Here is a 19,584-nt window from a genome sequence, read left to right as displayed (position 1 = left end):
ACCTCAGGGATGGGGGTAAAATAGCAATAGCGCCTAGGAAAAGGCACAGAATCTATGCCATATTGACTTGACAATAATAACCATCCCTTTCAACCCTACTTTTTGGGCCACCTAGTGGGTTTTGTATCTTTCGTCAAATTTTTCCCACTCATCCAGGGAAACTGGGACTTCTGAAGCCTCAGGGAGGGACTTCCCGGGACACAGCGGACTTTTGCTGCTAATCCTATAATAGTTTCAGGCAAAGAGGGACCGTTGGTCACCTTACGCAGTCTCCCTCTACATTCCATCAGCGTCCTCCTTTTCCCAGGCTCCCCACTTCCCTCTTTCTCCCCTCTCCTTCGTCGTCCCCTTGCCTCTGTCCCCAGTCTCTCACTCTTGGTCCCTTAGTTTCCCATTCTCTGTTCTTAGGTCTTGCGTCTTTTTGTCCCTTAGTCTTTCTCATTTCCGCACTTTCTCCTTTATTTTGTACGTCCATCTCCTCTTCCCTGTCTCAATTTTCCTCCTTTTTTTAAAGTTTGCCCCTGCAACTTATTACCGCGCAGTATTGTAATATCTCCCTCGGAGTGTTTCTTATCATTACTCTTAATAAAAGTTCAGTATTACTGTTATCCCCTCCCGAAGTGACCGTTCCCACCATGGTGGCCCCAGTCTCCCACAGAGGAAACGCCCCGGAGAAGAACGTACCATTTACAAACACGTTTAATTGGAATCGCCAACGAAAATATTGTACCATTCTAAATTCTTCGCCTTTCAACATAAGCATCCTTAAATGGAGGACAGTAGCACTCCAACTTCTTCTCCAATCCTGTGAAATCTGTCTGCAAAAGTGTGGACCTTACTGCTCGTGTAGTAGGCCTCCTTGCCGTCGTCTTCCCCTCCCTTCGCAGTCACTGTGGTACAGTCCACATTCCGGCTCAGCGCCTGGCGAGTCCTCCGCTTGTACTGAGACGCCTGGGATCTCAAAATGGCGGCCCCGTGCGGAAACAGCGTCTGGGAGCAGTCATGTTGCCTCCTGAACAAAGCCGCTGAAGATGAAGAATGGGCAAAATCGCCCCATACGGAACAGCGCAGCCTCGGGAGCCCGTTACCTGGCTCGCGAACACGAAGCGGGAGAGTTCGCCAATATGGATGTGACAGCGGTTCCCATTAAGCGGTGATAGGATTTTTGGGACCTGATAATCAAGCTAGGGGTCAGCAGGGGGGTTTATGGGTTGAGTCTGGGATTGGTATTGGGGCAGGGTTCCTTGGGGTTCAGTGACGAGGTCTATGAGTTCAGTGATGGTTAGTGATGAGTGTTGGGAACATGTGGGGGTCATTAGCAGGGAGGCCTGTGTGATCTGTGGGTCAGGGATGGAGTGTCTGCGCCAAGTGATGGGGTGTACGTGTGGCCAGTGACTTATGGACCTGTATGACTGGTGCTATGATGGTGGTGGGGATGGATGTGTTCTGTGGGGTTTGTGATTTCTGGACCTGGCGATTCAGTGATTTTAAGGACCAAGGGCTGTTAAAGTTAGTTCCAACTTATTAGAACAGGCCTCACTTTGCAATCTCTGCAGGTCACAGACTACTCTCAAGTTGAAAACCTTCAGAAGTTTTCTCAAACCACTTGTCCCCTCCATAACTCGTGCCTTCACAGAAGAAAACATCCTTCAAATAAATATCAAAACAAATATTAAAGGAATGGGATCATTATTGTCAATTCTTTCTAGCCCAAATAAACCAGGAATACCCTGTGGTTGAATAAGTTAGGAAGCTGAGTTAGGATGAATCAGTTCAGCCCTGTCACCACAGGGAACTGTTGGGGTATGTATCATCAGTAAGAATGTGTTAGAAAGTATTTGCAGGATTTGGCTTTGTGTTAGGTGATTTTAGGGAGTGGTTAAGGAAGTGGGTCTTACTCTGGATTGAATGCTATTAGGAAACAGAGTAATTCAGTGACTTTTATTTTTTAAAAAATCTGGGAATTTCAATAAATTTTATTTAGAAGGAGGAAAGACTAGACTGAAGCTAATAAGTAAAAGTAATAGCTAAAGAAGTAGCAGACGGGAGGGGAGAGAGGGATGATTGGTATTTTGTGGATTGAACAATATTGGTGTTTCGTCATTACATGATGTCAGAGTAATCTTGTTTTTGTCTTGATCTATCCTGGTCACATAGCGGCCTTATGTGATGTTTATGTTCGTGTAATTGTTTATATTAAGTAAGAGAGTTGTGAGTGCCAGACAGGTTCTTAGATATCAGAGCATTCTAAGGCATATTCTCTTTCTTATTATGAAAGGTGTAGTTTCAGTCTTGCTTATTCGTAAGTTTACTGAAATAGTTTATGTTCTATTTAACAAATATTTATTGGACATCTGCTATTTACTCTATGGAGGGCTGGGTGTTCAGACATTAACATGACTATTTGATTGTTTCCTTCCTGATTTATTTTGACAAACCCTGGGATGGCACAAATGAAACAATCTCTCTATCATGATATTCCCCCGTTGCTCTGAATGAGTTCAGCTCTGTCTGCATGATCTATCCCAGACTGAAAAGAGTTTACCAGCTAAGTACTTTCCTGCAATGTAGTATATTCCCGTTTATTGTTCCAACCTGTCAGTAATTTTTTATACAGGCAACTGCCTTGTTGAAAATCAGCAATAAAAATTTAAACCAAAGAAATCTTAAAATCAGCAATAAAAATTTAAACCAAAGAAATCTTAAAATCAGCAATTTTAATCCACAAATATTGATTTATCAAGAGAATTTGCTGGTTTGGAGTAAAATATAAAAGAGCTTGTCTTACTCAGTTTGGGCTGCTGTAACAGAATGCCACAGATGGAGGACCTTAAACAGCAAACATTTATTTCTCACATTTCTGGAGGCAGAGAAGTTCAAGATCAAGGTGCCAGCAGGTCTAGTGTTTGCTGATAGCACTCTTCCTGTTTTGTAAACTTCTCATTGTATCCTCACAAGGCCAAGAGACAAATCATCTCTCTGATATTTCCTGTTGTAAGGGCATTAATCCCATTTATTAGGGCTCTCATTTCATGACCTAATTACCTCCCAAAGACCCCACTTCCCAATACAATCACATTAGAATTGCAACATTTGAATTTTGGAGGGACAAACATTCAGTCCATAACAGAGCTCTTAGAATTTTGTAGGCTGCTTTGGTTTAGGAAATAAGGGAATACACTCCTTAATTTTCCTCTTGGTCACTCCCATTCTTGTCTCCAGGGAACATCTGCAGTTAAATATATATTTCTCCATGATATCCATGATTATTGTCTTAAGATAGTTCTACAAATAGAAATTCAAATAGAATTGCTGGTTCAAAGGGGAACAATTAGGTGTTTGTAAATCCACAGGAAACATATCTGCATTTATCTAATTAAAAATACACCTTGCCCTATGTGATCAAATTATACACCTAGTTCTGTATGATCATATCATAGTCACAAAAGGACTAAAGGTGGATACCTCCTTCACATGGTGTTTGCTATAAGGGTCAAACGACCTTCTCCCATCACGACCTTCTCCCACAGGATGGCCTATCAGCTACCTGACTTCTGGTGGTGGTTGTTTAGAGACTGGTGAATGTTAGTTCTGGCCCATAAAAACTCCATTCTTTCTTCCAGACCTGATTCCTCAGACCTCTGCCCTATCGGAAGGGAAGCAGAAAATGATCAGGTCTCAGGTGAGCTGCTTATTTTGTACTTGGTTACCATGCAATCAAATGGAAAAATACAGAAAGCTAAAAATTAGGATTAAGAAGATGTAGAGAGAACAAATGATAAAGATTTGGAAACAGCTTCTACGTAATATGCCAATTATGTGGTTTAAACCTTATAAAACCACTATTAGAGTACAAATTATATATATATATATACACACATATATATATATAGTATGTTCATATCACTGTATTTTACCAAAGTATATAAGGTATAAATGTGTCTGATCTTTATAGCAGTCCCAGTGGAAAGATAGAGGACATGATAAACAAGATTTTCATTCTCCACAAAGGGAAATTAGCTGAATTTTCAATGAGAAGAAAATATTTCCTGCCTTTAGGAGTAAAATAAATTTATTTTTTGGGAGTCCTCCTATAGGTGCTATCCTTACCTAAACTCCTATATAAATGTATCAATAGATGTTTTTGTAGTTGTGTCTTAATATATTTATTTTAGATTTAGTTATGATTCACTGGCAAAGGCTTCGAGTGCAGAAGTCTCAGATTCTCCATAGCTTTTGCTATAGTTTCAGGGTTTGTGGGGCTGTTCCCTTAAAGTTGTGGGGAACCCTTATTTAAGTTCCCCAACTTAAAGTCATTTCTTTCTCTGCTCTTAAATGTATAAAGTCATTTTACTATTTTTTTCCTGGCTCAAGTTATGTATAATTGGTGTAAACATTTAAAACAATATAATAAAGGTAAAAAATTTAAAAATGAAATGGCCTTTCACTTCTTCCTTCCTCTTGGGATATCCATATTAATAATTTGTGCTGGGTGTGCAGTGGAAATTACTGATTCTATTGTTTTAAAAATGAAAATTCTCAACTTTTTCTGATAGCTATCTAGTTTTCCCAATACCATTTGTTGAATAACTTACTTATTAGAAATGCTTCCTTTATTATTTATTAAATTCCCATTTGTGATTAGGTTTCTTCTTGCTTTTCTATTCTCCTGATGTGTCTGACTGTTTTTTGCTAAAGACAAAATTTTACATAATTTTTCTCAGAAGGCATGATATAGAATTAGGCACATGGTTTTGCAAACTATAGTGGAAATAATGAGAATGATCGCTTCTGATTGAGCAAGAATGTACTGTTATAGGGTCCAGTGTCATTTGAGGATGTGGCTGTGGATTTCACCCAGGAGGAGTGGCAGCAACTGGACTATGCTCAGAGGACCCTGTACAGGGATGTGATGCTGGAGATCTATAGCCACCTGGTCTCAATGGGTAAGGATGGCTCCCCTGAATAACTCAGAGTTGTCCAATCCAGTGCCTCTCCCTTATCTGATTGGGTTAGGTGGGTTCCTGACCTATAATGACTTTGTGCTTTTTCCTTTCTCTAGTGAAAGTTCTTTACTTTGCAGAGGGTCACTTGGACAGCTTATTGTGGGCTCCTGCAACTGCACTTTCTCTTCTTTCTACAGTGTAGTCAACCCAATTCCTTTATGATTTCTCTATAATAGGATATCCAGTTTCCAAACCAGATGTCATCTCCAAGTTGGAACAAGGAGAAGAGCCATGGATCATAAAGAGACACATACCAAATTGGATCTATCCAGGTGAAAATGTGGCAGATGGGAGACAAGAAAAATAAATGCTCAGTTGCTTTATTTTATTTTTAACTGGCTTATGGCTGAGGCTTAGATCTCCACCCAGATTGCCATCTCCTATTTCTTCTTGCTCCTGTGGAGAGCATGTAGTAGGCATTCAACAACTAACTCATTAATAGTGAGCCATGTACAAAAAGAGGTATTTATTTTTTGTTCACTCAACAATCATAACTTTAGTGTCTTCCTAAAAGAAATTCAAAGGCAATAGAAACAAATGCCTTTCAGGGACATAGGTTGTACAAGAAAAGGTAAGTCATCATGATTCATGGCTGCATAAAATTACATGTCAAATATAGTTATGTTTTAGGAGTTTGTGAAAATTATAGTTTGAAGAGATGTGGCAAAATTTAAGAAGGTATTTTTCAGAGCATGTAGCAGCTGCTCTGAATCATATCCTCAGTGTGGCTTAGGCAGAAGGAGGGCAAGAGCCTGTAGGAAGAAGGACTTCTATAAATCTTTAGTTAGGAATTAACATAACTTTTCTGATGGAAATTCGCTAGGCTTACTTGACTTCAGTCAGAGATATTTATTAGGGGGTAGTGGAATATAAGCTTGGATACACAGTATGGATGATACACATAGTTAATGTTTTATTAGCCATACTATCTTAAGCCATTTGTATTGCTATAAAGGAGTGCCTGAGGCTGGGGAATGTATAAAAAAAAGAGGTTTATTTGTCTCATGGTTCCACAAGCCATACAAAACTTCCACTCATGGCAGAAGGTGAAGGGGAGCAGGCATTATATGGTGGGTTGAGGGGCTAGTGAGGGAGGTCCCAGGCTCTTGTTAACAATCAGTTCTTAAGGGAATTAATAAAGCAAGAACTCATTACTGCAAGGACAGCATTAGGCCCTTCATGAGGGATCCCCAAATGACCCAAATACCTCCCACTAAGTCCCACCTCTAATATTGATGATCAGATTTCAACATCAGATTTGGAAGAGACAGAGATTCCAGCTATATTACCCTGACATTTTTTGTTGTTATATACAGCCGAGGCATAACTCACATGACATACAATTCACCCATTAAAAGTAAACAACTGAGTGATTTTTAGTATATTCATAGATATGTGCAACCATCACCATAGTCAATTTTAGGACACTTTCATCACCTCAAAAAGAAACCCTGTACCCTTTAGCTATCACCCCTCTATTCAATTTCTCCATAGCCTCAAGCAACCACTAATCTCTCTGTTTCAATAGATTTGCCTATTCTGGACATTTTATATAAAATGAGCCATATAATATGTGGTCTTTTTTGACTGGGTTCCTTTTCTAAACATGATATTTGCAAAGTTCATCCACAAGTATCAGTACTTCATTCCTTTTTTTGGCTGAATAATATCTCATTGTATGGATATATGACATTTTGTGTATCCATTCATCAGTTGATGGACATTTGGGTTATTTCCAGCATTTAGCTGTTATGAATGATGCTGCTGTAAACGGTCAACTAACTACAAGTTTTGATGTGGACATATGTTTTATTTTTTCTTTGGTATGTACCTAGGAGTGGAATTCCTAAGTTATACAGTAATTTTGTAGTTAACCATTTGAGGAATTGCCAGATGTTTTCCAAAAAGTGGCTGCTCTATTTTATATTTTCCTCCAGCAGGGTCTGAGGTTACCAGTTTCTCCTTTTGGACTCTAACTACAGTAATGGGTGTGAAGTGCTGTCTCATTGTTGTCTTGATTTGCAGTCCTCTGATGATGAGCATTTTTTCATGTGCTTATTAGTCATTTGTATACCTTCTTTGGAGAAATGTCTATTCAGATCCTTTGCCCATTTTTGATTCTAACTACAGTAATGGGTGTGAAGTGCGATCTTATCGCTATCTCTCTGATTTTCACACCAAAAGTATGAGCAACAAAAGAAAAGAATAGTCTTCAATAAATGGTGCTGAAATAACTGGATAGCTACATGCAAAAGAAGTTAGTTGGAACTTACACCATAGGTAAAAATTAACTTAAAATGGATCAAAGACTAAATGTAAGAGCTAAAGTTATAAAGCTCTTAGGAAAAAAAAAAAACCTACAGGGGTAAATCTTCATGACCTTGGATTTGGAAATGGATTCCTGGATTTGACACCAAAAGCATGAACAACAAAAGAAAAAATTTAAAAACTGGACTTCATCAAAATTATAAACTCTTGTGCTTCAAAGGACATTATTAAGAAAGTGAAAAGACAAGCCACAGAATGGGAGAAACTATTTGCAAATCACACATCTGATAAGGGACTTATACCTATTGCAAAAACCACAATTACTTTTGCACCAACCTAAAAGAATATAATGAACTTCCATTACTCAATAATAAAAGGCAAAGAATCCAATTCAAAAATGAGTAAAGGATCTGAATAGACATTTCTCCAAAGGTGTACAAATGACTAATAAGCACATGAAAAGATGCTCATCATCAGAGAACTGCAAATCCAGACAACAATGAGATGGCACTTCACACCCATTAGTGTAGAGTCCATTTTGAGTTATTTTTTGCATATAAAGTTCCAACTTCCTTTTTTTGCATGTAGCTATCCAGTTATTTCAGCACCACTGATTGAAGACTGTTCTTTTCTTTTGTTGTTCATGCTTTTGGTGTCAAATCTAAGAATCCATTTCCAAATCCAAGGTCATGAAGATTTACCCCTGTGGGTTTTTTTTCCTAAGAGTTTTATAATTTCAGCTCTTACATTTAGTCTTTGATCCATTTTAATTTTTGCATATGGTGTAAAGTTCCAACTTCCTTATTTTGCATGAAGCTATCCAGTTACTTCAGCACCATTTATTGAAGACTATTCCTTTCCCATTTAGGAGTCTTGGTACCCTTGTCAAAAGTCAATTGACCATAAATTTAAGGTTTTATTTTTGGATTCCTAATAATATTCTATTCATCTGTTTATCTATCCTTATGCCAGTACCATACTCTCTTGATTATTGTGTTCATAGTAAGTTTTCAAACTGAGAAGTGTCATTTCTCCAACTGTGTTCTTTTTCAAGATTATTTTGACTAGGGCTCCTTGCAATTCCATATGAATTTTAGAATCAGTGTATCAGTTCTACAAATAAACTCCTTTGGGTTCTCATAGGGATTGCATTGCACTTACGGATCTGTTTGAGGAGTTTTACCATCTTAATATTAAGTCTTTTGACCCATGAATGCAAGATGTTTTGCCATTTATTTAGAACTTTAGTTCCTCCAATAATGTTTTATAGTTTTCAGAGTATAAGTTGTGTTATTCTATTTGATGTTATTGTAAATGGAATTGTTTCCTTAATTTCATTTTCAGATTGCTCATGGCAAGAATATGGAAATACAGTTGATTTTTGTATATTGGTCTGGTATCTTGACCCTTACTAAACTCACTTATTAGTTCTAATTGTTTCTTAGTTGATTCCTTAGGATTTTCTGGATAAAGATTTTGTCATCTACAGATAAAGACAGTTTTAAATATTTCTGTCCATATTGGATGCTTTTTAATTTTTTTTCTTGGTTAGAACCTCCAGTACAATGTTAAATAGAATAGTGAAAATGGACATGCTTGCCTTGTTCTTAATCATATGGGGAGACAACTAGTGTTTCATCGTTAAGTATGATACTAGCTGTAGGTTCTTCCTAGATGCCCTTTATCAGTTTGAGGAAGTTTTCTTCTACTCCTAGTTTGTTGAGTGCTTTTATCATGAAAATGTGTTGGATTTTGACAAATGCATTTTCTGCTTTTATTAAGATGCTCTATTTATATAGTGTTTTATTGATTTGTAATCAATTGGGGGATAGTAAACTAACTTTATATTCCTAGACAAATCTCACTTGGTCATGGTGTATAATTATTTTTATATGTTGCTGGATTTCTTTGCTAGTTATGTAGGGGGTCTGCAAGACCACCATTGGTTTGATGATTTGCTAGGAGGACTCATAGAACCCAGAAAAGCTGTTATACTCATGGTATGCCTTATTACAGTGATAGAGTTTACTAGTCTAAGTCTGGACTTTTGTTCGTGGGAAGATTTTTATTTGCTAAGTTTCTTTCCTTGATATAAATCTATTCAGATTATCTACTTGTTCTTGAGTCAGCTTTGGTAATTTGTGTCTTTCAAGGAATTTTAAAATTTCATCTAAATTGTCAAAGTCATTGACATAAACTTTTTCATAATATTCTTTTATTGGTCATTTATGTTTGTAGCATCTTTATATGTCTTTAATCCCTGATATTGCTACTTTATGTCTTCTCTCTTTTTCTTCACCAGTAGCTAAAATATATCAATTTCATTAATTTTTAAAAATAATTAGGTTTTGATTTCACTAATTTTTATCTATTTGTCTGTTTTTTATTTCATTGATTTCCATTCTGACCTTGATGTTTTTTCCTTTCTACTTACTTTGGGTTTAATTTGCTCTTTTTTTTCCCCTAGCTTTTTAAGTTCAAAGCTTAATCAATGATTTGAAACCTTTTTGTTGGCTAATATAAGCATTTAAATAGAGGTAGTCCTCGTTTTGTGTGGTAATGGGGAACCATAAAAATGACTATTGAAGCTGAAACTTTGCAAAGTAATCTTCATAATCAGTGGGAAAAATTACAATGGTTTTGTGACCATTAAGAATTTTTTCCAAAACTTTAAAAGCTGTTTTACTGTTTGTTATAAATATATAGGAAATGAAAACACAGTAAAACTAATATTTATTTATTACCCTGAAATTTAAAACATTGGCAGCATTTTGAATGTGTTTTTTTTTCCCCAAAAAACTTGTGAAGAGTAGTTTTAACAGTGTTTGCCATCTTCTTGTATAACTTATGATATGGAATGAGCATGTTTTCTATACCTAGGTGAATTGTCATAATCCTTTCTAAGTTTGGATCCATTCCAACATTTTATCCTTTGTGCTTACAATATTGTGAAATATGTCCAGGAGTTTATGTGAAGATTTTTTTTTATGACATTACTTTCTTTGCACTACCTTTGTCCTTGTCATCACAACCAGTTTTTATATTTATAGTAAGTTAATAAGTTTGCTTTTACTCAATTCCTCTACTTTGTATCTAAAGTCTCTTGAATGGCAGCAGTGTCGACATTTCCAGTCAGCCATCTTCTACTCAAAAACAATATTGTTAATGTTGTTTCCTTTCTGAATTTTTATCTTTGTTGTCCAATTCACTCTTCTAATTATCAGTTTTTATAAAATTTCATGTGGGCTTATCACTGGGAGACAAGCAAGGAACATAAACTACACACTTTGCTCTCTGTGAGCATACTGGATGACAGATGTGCAACTAATAATCATTGACAGACTTTGAAATAAGTGAAATGACTGGTCACTGATCATGATGTATATCTGTTACATACATAATGATTTGTAGACTGAAGAGCTAGCAGTATAGTTTGTACTCCATGCCATTATTCACAGATACTATATTGAAGTTTGAACTGTGTTGCTGGCAGACTGGCATTATTTAGCTAACCTGTGGTAATTGAAATTCCTGCATGTCAGAATTCTGCAAAGTAAGGACTACCTGTATCTATATATTTTTTTCTCTAAGCACTGCTTTAGTTTTATCTCACAAATTTTGACATTTTGTGTTCTCATATTAATTAAATTCAAGTTACTTTCTAATTCCTCTTTTGACTTTCTCATTGACACATAGGTTATTTTATAAGTGTGTTTAATTTTCTAATATTTGGGGGGACTTCTGAGATGTCTTTTTATTATTTATTTCTAATTAATTCCATTATGGTTGGTTAATATACTCTGAATGATTTCCATTCTTATAAAATCATTGCAATGTGTTTTCAGGTCAAGAATACAGTCTATTCTGATGAATATCCATGTGTCCTTGAAGTGAAAGTGTATTTTGTTATTAGATGGGTGTTTATAGATGTTGATTAGATCAGATTGGTTGATACTTATTGGTGTTTTGTCTATTTTTAAAATAAATAATTGTTAAGAGGAGTATTAAAATCACTAGCTGTAATTGTTAATTTGTCTCATTTTTTCTTTTATTTTTCTCAGTTTTAGTTTTATGTATTGTGGGGCTCTTTCTGTAGGTGATATACATTTATCATTGTTACATCTTTTTGCTGTAGTAATCCTTTGGCAGCATCATTTGAAATGTACCTTTCATTCTAATAATATTTGTTGTCTTAAAGTGTATATTTTGTGATACTAACACAGCTACTCCAACTCTAAAACACAATTTGTGTGGTAACTTTTCCTATCCTTTCATTTTCAAGCTTTTTTTTTTTTTTTTTTGAGACGGAGTCTCGCTCTGTCGCCCAGGCTGGACTGCGGACTGCAGTGGCACAATCTCGGCTCACTGCAAGCTCCGCTTCCCGGGTTCACGCCATTCTCCTGCCTCAGCCTCCCGAGTAGCTGGGACTACAGGCGCCCGCCACCGCGCCCGGCTAATTTTTTGTATTTTTAGTAGAGACGGGGTTTCACCTTGTTAGCCAGGATGGTCTCGATCTCCTGACCTCATGATCCACCCGCCTCGGCCTCCCAAAGTGCTGGGATTACAGGCATGAGCATTTTCAAGCTTTTAAAGTGAATGTCTTTTAGACAACATATAGTTGGTTCTTACTGTTTTATCCAGTTTACAATTTCTGTCTTTTGATTGGAGTATTATTGCATTCCCAGTTAATTTCATTATTGATTTGATTTGTCCTTTCCATTTTACTACTGGTTTAATTTGATTTTTGGCCTCTTTTTCTTTTATTGTTTTCTTTGAAAGAAATACTTTTTAGTATATTAATTCCTCTGTTAAATTTTTAGCTGTAGTTCTGTGTTTATCTGGAAATGTCTTTTGTTTTTTGTGTGTGAGGAGAATGTTTTTCTAGGGATTACAATATGATATTTGGCCTCTTACAACCTACTTCAAGTTAATGTTGCTTTTTTTTTCTTGGAAAAAATATAGAAATTTTGCACTAGCATAGCTCCATTCCCTACCCCTCTCGACCCTCCTGTACTCCTTTGTCCTTTGTGGTCACATATATTTGTCATAAATTCAACAATACAGTGTTATATTTGCTTTTGAAAGTCTTTTAACAAAATTAGAAGAAAAGAGAAAAAAGTGTTTACATTCAATTTACCTACTGTGTTAGTCCATTTTCTGCTGTTATAACAGACTGGGAAATTTACAATGAACAGAAATGTATTTGGCTCATGATTCTGGAGCCTGGGAATTCCAGAAGCATGGCTCTGACATCTGGGTGAGAGCCTTCATGCTGCATGGCAGAAGGCAGAATAGCAACAGAACGTATCAGAGTAAAAGGAAGGGAGCTGAACTCATACTGTTATCATGAACCGCCTCTCACGAAAACTAACCCACTCCTGTGACAACATTAAAGCATTCATGAGGGCAGAGCTCTCATGACATAATCACCTCTTGAAGGTCCCAACTCTCAACACTGTTGCATTGGGAATTAAGTTTCCAACACATGAACTGTGAGGGGCATTCAAACTGTAGCACCTGCATATTTTAAAAAATGTAAAATCCTGTGTATTTGAGATGCCATTGATATTCAGCTAGATGGTAGATCTGTTCTCCTGGCAACATATTTTTGTTTATCTGAAATGCCTTCATTTTGCCATCATTTTTAAGGGAGATTTTCATTGAATATAGTATTCTTGGTTGACAAGTTGTTTTCCTTCGACACTTTTAATATGTTATTCCAGTGTTTTCTGGCCTCCATTTTTTGTTCTTGAAAAATCAACTGAGGCCAGGCATGGTGGCTCATGCCTTTAATCCCAGCACTTTGGGAGGCCAAGGCGGGTGGATCACAAGGTCAGGAGTTCGAGACCAGCCTGGCCAAGATGGTGAAACCCCATCTCTACTGAAAATACAAACATTAGCCAGGCGCAGTGGCAGGCATGTGTAATCCCAGCTACTCAAGAGGCTGAGGCAGGAGAATCACTTGAAACCAGGAGGCGCAGGTTCCAGTGAGGCAAGATCATGCCACTGCATTCTAGCCTGGGCAACACAGCAAGACTCCATCTCAAAAAAAAAAAAAAAACAAAAAAAAGAAAAGTCAACTGACAATTCTATTATTCTCCTATGTATGAGGTGTTATTTTCCTCTTGCTGCTTTCAAGATTTTCTTTGTCTTTATTTTTCAGTAGCTTAATTGTTATGCGTCTAGGTATCCTACCTGTGGTTTATTCAGTTTCTTGGATCTGTAAGTTACTGTTTTCTAGCCAATTTGGTAATATCTCAGACATTTTTTCAAATATGTTTTCCACCTCTTTCCTACACATGTGCTGAAATGCTTAATATTGTTTCCCAGAACTCTGATGTTATGCTTAATTTTCTTAAATTTTTTTTTTCATTTTGCCCTTTGGATTGGATAATTTCTAGTGGTCTTCAAGTTTACTGATTCTGATTTTCTCATCTACTTTTTCAAATCTACCAAGGAGCTCATCTGGTGGAATTTTCATTTTAACCTTAGAATTTCCATTTGGTTCTTTTCTCTTTAAATTTATTTTTAAGTTTACATAAAATGAAGTGTACTCTTTCTTTACATTGTGACAATGGCATAGATTCATTTAGCTACCATCACAATCATAATATAGACCAGTTCCATTGCTCTTAAAATTTTGTTTACTACCACTCTTTATTGTTATATACTTTTTTCTTCTTTGAAAGTATCTAGGTCTTTACTAATCCTTTAGTATGGTTTTCTTTAGTTATTTTAATATATTTACAGTAGCTTCTTTTAAGTCTTTGCTAAATCGAACATCTGTGCCCACTTGGAGCATTTCTATTGATTTTCTTCCTGAGTATGGGTTACAGTTTTCTGCTTCTTTACATGTCTAGTAACTTTAGGTTGAAAACTGTACATTGGAGATAATTTGTTGTAGTATTCTGGACTCTTCTTGTTCTTCTGACAGTGGAGGTTTTATTTTACAGATAATTTATTCAGAATCAAACTATGACATCTCTTTTCCCGATGGTGTGCTATTGCTGATGTCTCTGCTTATTTTTTTTTTTTTTTTTTTTTTTTGAGACGGAGTCTCGCTCTGTCGCCCAGGCTGGAGTGCAGTGGCGGGATCTCGACTCACTGCAAGCTCCGCCTCCCGGGTTCTCTGCTTATTTTTTTATATATTTATTTTATTTTTAAAATCCTGGCCCCCAGTGGACTCCCCTGCCCCTGCATAAAATAGAGATGAACTAGTGATTTGGACAGAGGTTATATTAGACATCAAAAGCCAGTAAAGCTTCCACACATTGACACCTAAATTGTGCGTGGATTAGAACAATTTAGGCATGGATTCAAAGGTATAGCAAGTTTGCAAGTCTTTCTAGATTTTCAATCATTGCTTGACTCTCTAGGGTCTTCTTGCAGAAACGTTTTAGCAACCTGGTGGGGATATATGAAGAGTTTGTTATTTCAGATTTGTTTTTTGTTTGTTTGTTTTTTTGTTTACAAAGAGACAGGTCTCACTATGTTGCCCAGGCTGGTCCCAAACTTGTAGCTCAAATGATCCTCCTGCCTCTACCTCCCAACATGCTGGAATTTCAGGTCATGTGTCCAGCCTATTATTTCAGTTTTTTAATGACTCTGTTGCTTCCAGTTTCTCCTTGTTAAATATTTAGCCACTCTACTATAGTGTCAAACTGGGTTTCTCACCTCTGTTTTTAATGCCACATGAACTGCGGGTGATAGTTGCAGAAAACCTAGGAAAGAATGCCATAACTTTACTTTCTTACCCAATGAAATAACAGTTTTTGATTAATAAACATTTTACAATTTGTGGCCTGTCTTTCTAATTTCTCATTGCTCTGATTTGGTGTTTTAAAAATCATTTTATTTCATATTATATTTGTTTTCTGAGTAGAGGACTAAATCTTTATTATATCTGTTTTATTTTATTTTTTTTCAGACAGAGAGAGTAGACTTGACACCCCTCAACTGGATATATTTAGAGATGTTTTCTTCCATAAGGAGACACTGGAAAGTATTACAAGGGGTCATTCATTGTACTCCATTTTAAAAGTCTGGCAAGGTGATGACCAGCTGGAGAGAGATCAGGAAAACTGAGACAAATTTGTCAGGCAAGTTGTAGTCATCAACAACAAAAGAATATCTGAAGAGTCAGGTCATCCATATAATATATTTGGAAAAATATTTCATGACTGCACAGACCTAGATACTTCAAAACAAAGACTGTGTAAGTGTGATTCATTTGAAAAGACCTTGAAACCAAATATTAACCTAGTGAGTTATAATAGGAATTTTGCAAGAAAAAACATTGATGAGAATTTTAGATGTGGGAAAACACCTAGCTACAGTTCTTGCTATTCTAAGCATGAAAAAAATCATAGTGGAATGATACACTGTGAAGCTACTCATTGTGGAAAGATTCTTAGCAATAAACAATCTCTTATTCATTATGTGAATGTTGAAACTGGGGAGAAGACCTATGTATGTGTTGAATGTGGAAAATCCTTTCTCAAGAAGTCACAGATTATTATACATCAAAGAATTCATACTGGAGAGAAACCTTATGATTGTGGTGCATGTGGAAAAGCCTTCAGTGAGAAGTCACACCTTATTGCACATCAGAGAACTCATACTGGGGAGAAACCTTATGATTGTTCTGAATGTGGAAAAGGCTTTTCTCAGAAATCATCCCTCATTATACATCAGAGAGTTCACACTGGGGAAAAACCATATGAATGTAGTGAATGTGAGAAAGCCTTCTCCCAGAAATCACCCCTCATTATACATCAGAGAATACATACTGGGGAAAAGCCCTATGAATGTAGAGTGTGGGAAAGCCTTTTCCCAGAGTCACAGCTGATTATACATCACAGAGCTCATACTGGAGAGAAGCCATGTAAGTGTACTGAATGTGGGAAAGCATTCTGTTTTATACATTAAAGAGTTCACACTGGTGAGAAACCCTACAAATGTGCTCAATGTGAGGAAGCCTTCAGCAGGAAGTCAGAACTCATTATACATCAGATAATTCATACTGGGGAGAAACCGTATGAATGTACAGAATGTGGGAAAACATTCTCTCGCAAGTCACAACTCATCATACATCAGAGAACCCACACTGGAGAGAAACCCTATAAATGTACCAAATGTGGAAAATCCTTCTGTCAGCAGTCACATCTCATTGGACATCAGAGAATTCACACGGGAGAACAACCTTATGTATGTTCTGAATGTGGGAAAGCCTTCTCTCAGAAGTCTCACCTCCCAGGGCATTGGTGAATTCATACAGGAGAGAAACCTTACATATGTGCTGAATGTGGAAAGGCCTTTTCTCAGAAGTCAGACCTTGTTGTACATCAGATAATTCATACTGGAGAGAAACCTGATCGATGTACTGTATGTGGGAAGGCCTTCATCCAGAAGTCCCAACTCACTGTACATCAGAGAATTCATACACTAATGAAATCATAAGAATGGTCTGAACACAGAAAAGCCTTCAGGGTCAGTTCAAGCCTTAATAGATAGTGCAACAACCAATGGATTTGATGATTTTGGGGACTACATCTTTGTTGATAAAATTTTACAAGTGAAGTCATGTTCCTAATGTATTTCATTCTTTATCAAAGATAATAGAGAAGTCAATACGTAAATGATGGACATTTTCACTATGGCATATAAAAGTTTTTAAATTGAGAAATGAATGATTAGCATAACAGAACGAATTGCATGTACATCTCTTTTGAAGTTATGTGCTCCTGATTATACTACATAACAATCAGATATGTGTAAGATTGTTAATGTTAGCCTAGTATAATTTTGGTTATGCAGTTCTTCACTATAGAGGACATCAAGAAAGTCTGCATTTGAAAATGCCAATATCTAGAAATTGTATTTGAGGGAAGGGACTTGCCATGCACTCCTAAAGGTATATGTAAAATTTTTCTTGTAGAAAGAGACACTCATTTATAAATATTCCATGCCAGGTAAGGATGGCACATAAGTAATTTCCAGTTGGTGAAACTTCAACAGACATGAGGAGGAAAACCTATCACAAGGTTCCTATCTATGTAGAATTTAGACAAACAAGGGGGAGGGAGGATGGGCTAAGTATTCTAGTTATCTTTCAAGAGAAAGTCTTTCAGGAGTGGATGTCTCACTGTTCTGGTCTACCCCTGAAAAGAACCTGTTCTGAGAAATACAAATGACATCAATCAGGCCCTTATTTGAGGTGAAAGGCAATGATGGAGAGACTGACAGTATAACCAGAAATTCTAAAGAATCTACAAGAAAGTTCTAGAACTAGTAAGATAGTTTCATAATATTACAGGATCCAAAGTTTGTTATAAAAAACAATTATATGGTTATATATTAGCAACAAGCAAATGGAAAACTCAAAGATCCAATACCAAAATGAATTGGGATGTGATTAGCTCTCCCGCCATAAACAATTTCCCACCATGGTAGCAGTTTGCAAAAACAAAAGTAGGATCCTGATATTGCTAGCCAAGTTACAGATCGGTTCCATCACCACAAGGATCCCTCATATAGCCCTTTCATAGCCACACTCACCTCTATCTGTCCCGCAGCACCTGATCCCTAGTGACCACTAATCTTCATTTCTACAATTGTGTCATTTAAAGAATGTACTATAAATGGAATCATATGGTATGTGATCTTTGAGTACAGCTTTTCTTACTCAGCATTATTCCCTGGAGATTCATCCAATTTGTTGTATGTATTGGTAATTTTCTCCTGGAGTGATGTCAGCAAGATGACAGAATAGAAATTCTCTGGGCCGGGCGCGGTGGCTCACGCCTGTAATCCCAGCACTTTGGGAGGCCGAGGCGGGTGGATCATGAGGTCAGGAGATCGAGACCATCCTGGCTAACAAGGTGAAACCCCGTCTCTACTAAAAATACAAAAAAAATTAGCCGGGCGCGGTGGCGGGCGCCTGTAGTCCCAGCTACTCGGGAGGCTGAGGCAGGAGAATGGCGTGAACCCGGGAAGCGGAGCTTGCAGTGAGCCGAGATTGCGCCACTGCAGTCCGCAGTCCCGCCTGGGCGACAGAGCGAGACTCCGTCTCAAAAAAAAAAAAAAAAAAGAAATTCTCTGGCTCTAATCTCCCTCACAGAAATCAAGTAGCAACTATCCATAGACAGACATATCTTTGTAAATATCCCAGAGAAAAGGAGTAAGTTTGAGGTGCCCCTTGGATTGCAGAACTGAAAAAAATCTGAAGGTTAAAAAGAATGGTTTCAGCTGGGCATGGTGGCTCACACCTGTAATCTCAACACTGGGAGGCTGAGGCGGGCAGATCACCTGAGGTCGGGAGTTTGAGACCAGCCTGGCCAACATGGAGAAACCCCGTCTCTACTAAAAATACAAAATTAGCTGGGTGTGATGGCAGGTGCCTGTAATCCCAGCTACTCGGGAGGCTGAGGCAGGAGAACCGCTTGAACCCAGAAGGCAGAGGTTGCGGTGAGCCGAGATTGCACCATTGCATTCCAGCCTGGACAACAAGAGTGAAACTTTGTCTCAGAAAAAAATAGAAGAATGGTTTCACTTTAGTGGTGTCACCCCTCCCTCACTTTGGCACAGCACCACACAAAGAGGATTCCCCAGGACCTATGGTTTCTACAGTGGGAAAAAAAGTTGAAGATGAATATTTTGCTTCCCCACCATTCTGGGACCCATTACAGGATGCCAGACCTTATCTTGCCCCAAACAGAACATTGAGGATATCAGCAGGGATAGAACACCTGGGGTCAGTTAGAAACAAAAGGTGGGGATGGGGTTCACAGTGACCAGTGTCTTGACACTGGCTCTGCATTCTGGACAATGGAGATGCTTCATCACAGAAACTTGCCAACAGCATTACTCTACAAGGATGCACAGTCCTACAGCTTTTCCAGGCATCAGTCCTTAGCCAGCTTCTCCACCAGGACCTGGGGCTCTGCTTGAGCATTTCTGATGCTGGGAGGCAAGTGCAGGTTCACAAATATTTGTGGAAGGGAGTAGCTGACCCCAACCAAACCCAGCATCCTATTGGGGGCTCCACTAAACCCCAGAGCTCGCTTAAGCACTCCCAAGGCCAGGAGGCAAGTGCAGAACTGTATCTGCGGATGGAGTGCATGGCTCCACCAATCCCCAGCAGTCAAGTGGTGATTCCAGAGACCTCACCCAACCTTATAGCCCAGCTCGTAGGCCTGCCCACTTCCAGATTCTAAACAGCACTACAACCCAGTCAGGAAAGACAGCCTGAAACTCTATTCAATCAACCTGCAAAGACCATACAGCAGCTCTGCCTGACTGGAGTCTGGCC

At 37.8% G+C, this 19,584-nt stretch overlaps 1 pseudogene across 1 annotated transcript; it reads left to right on the top strand.

Annotated features, from left to right (window-relative positions):
- The first annotated feature begins 911 nt into the window (after positions 1–911).
- On the top strand, positions 912–17,060 carry ZNF300P1 (zinc finger protein 300 pseudogene 1; annotated as a pseudogene). The gene is made up of 5 exons (NR_026867.1): positions 912–1,190; positions 3,624–3,682; positions 4,820–4,946; positions 5,183–5,278; positions 15,202–17,060. The product of NR_026867.1 is annotated as a zinc finger protein 300 pseudogene 1 (transcript).
- The last annotated feature ends 2,524 nt before the right edge of the window (positions 17,061–19,584 follow it).

The sequence above is a fragment of the Homo sapiens genome, chromosome 5 (assembly GCF_000001405.40).
Source record: "Homo sapiens chromosome 5, GRCh38.p14 Primary Assembly".
In the NCBI taxonomy this organism is placed as follows: Eukaryota; Metazoa; Chordata; class Mammalia; order Primates; family Hominidae; genus Homo; species Homo sapiens.
The sequence above is the reverse complement of the archived record's forward strand: the minus strand, read 5'-3'. Positions and strand labels throughout refer to the sequence as shown.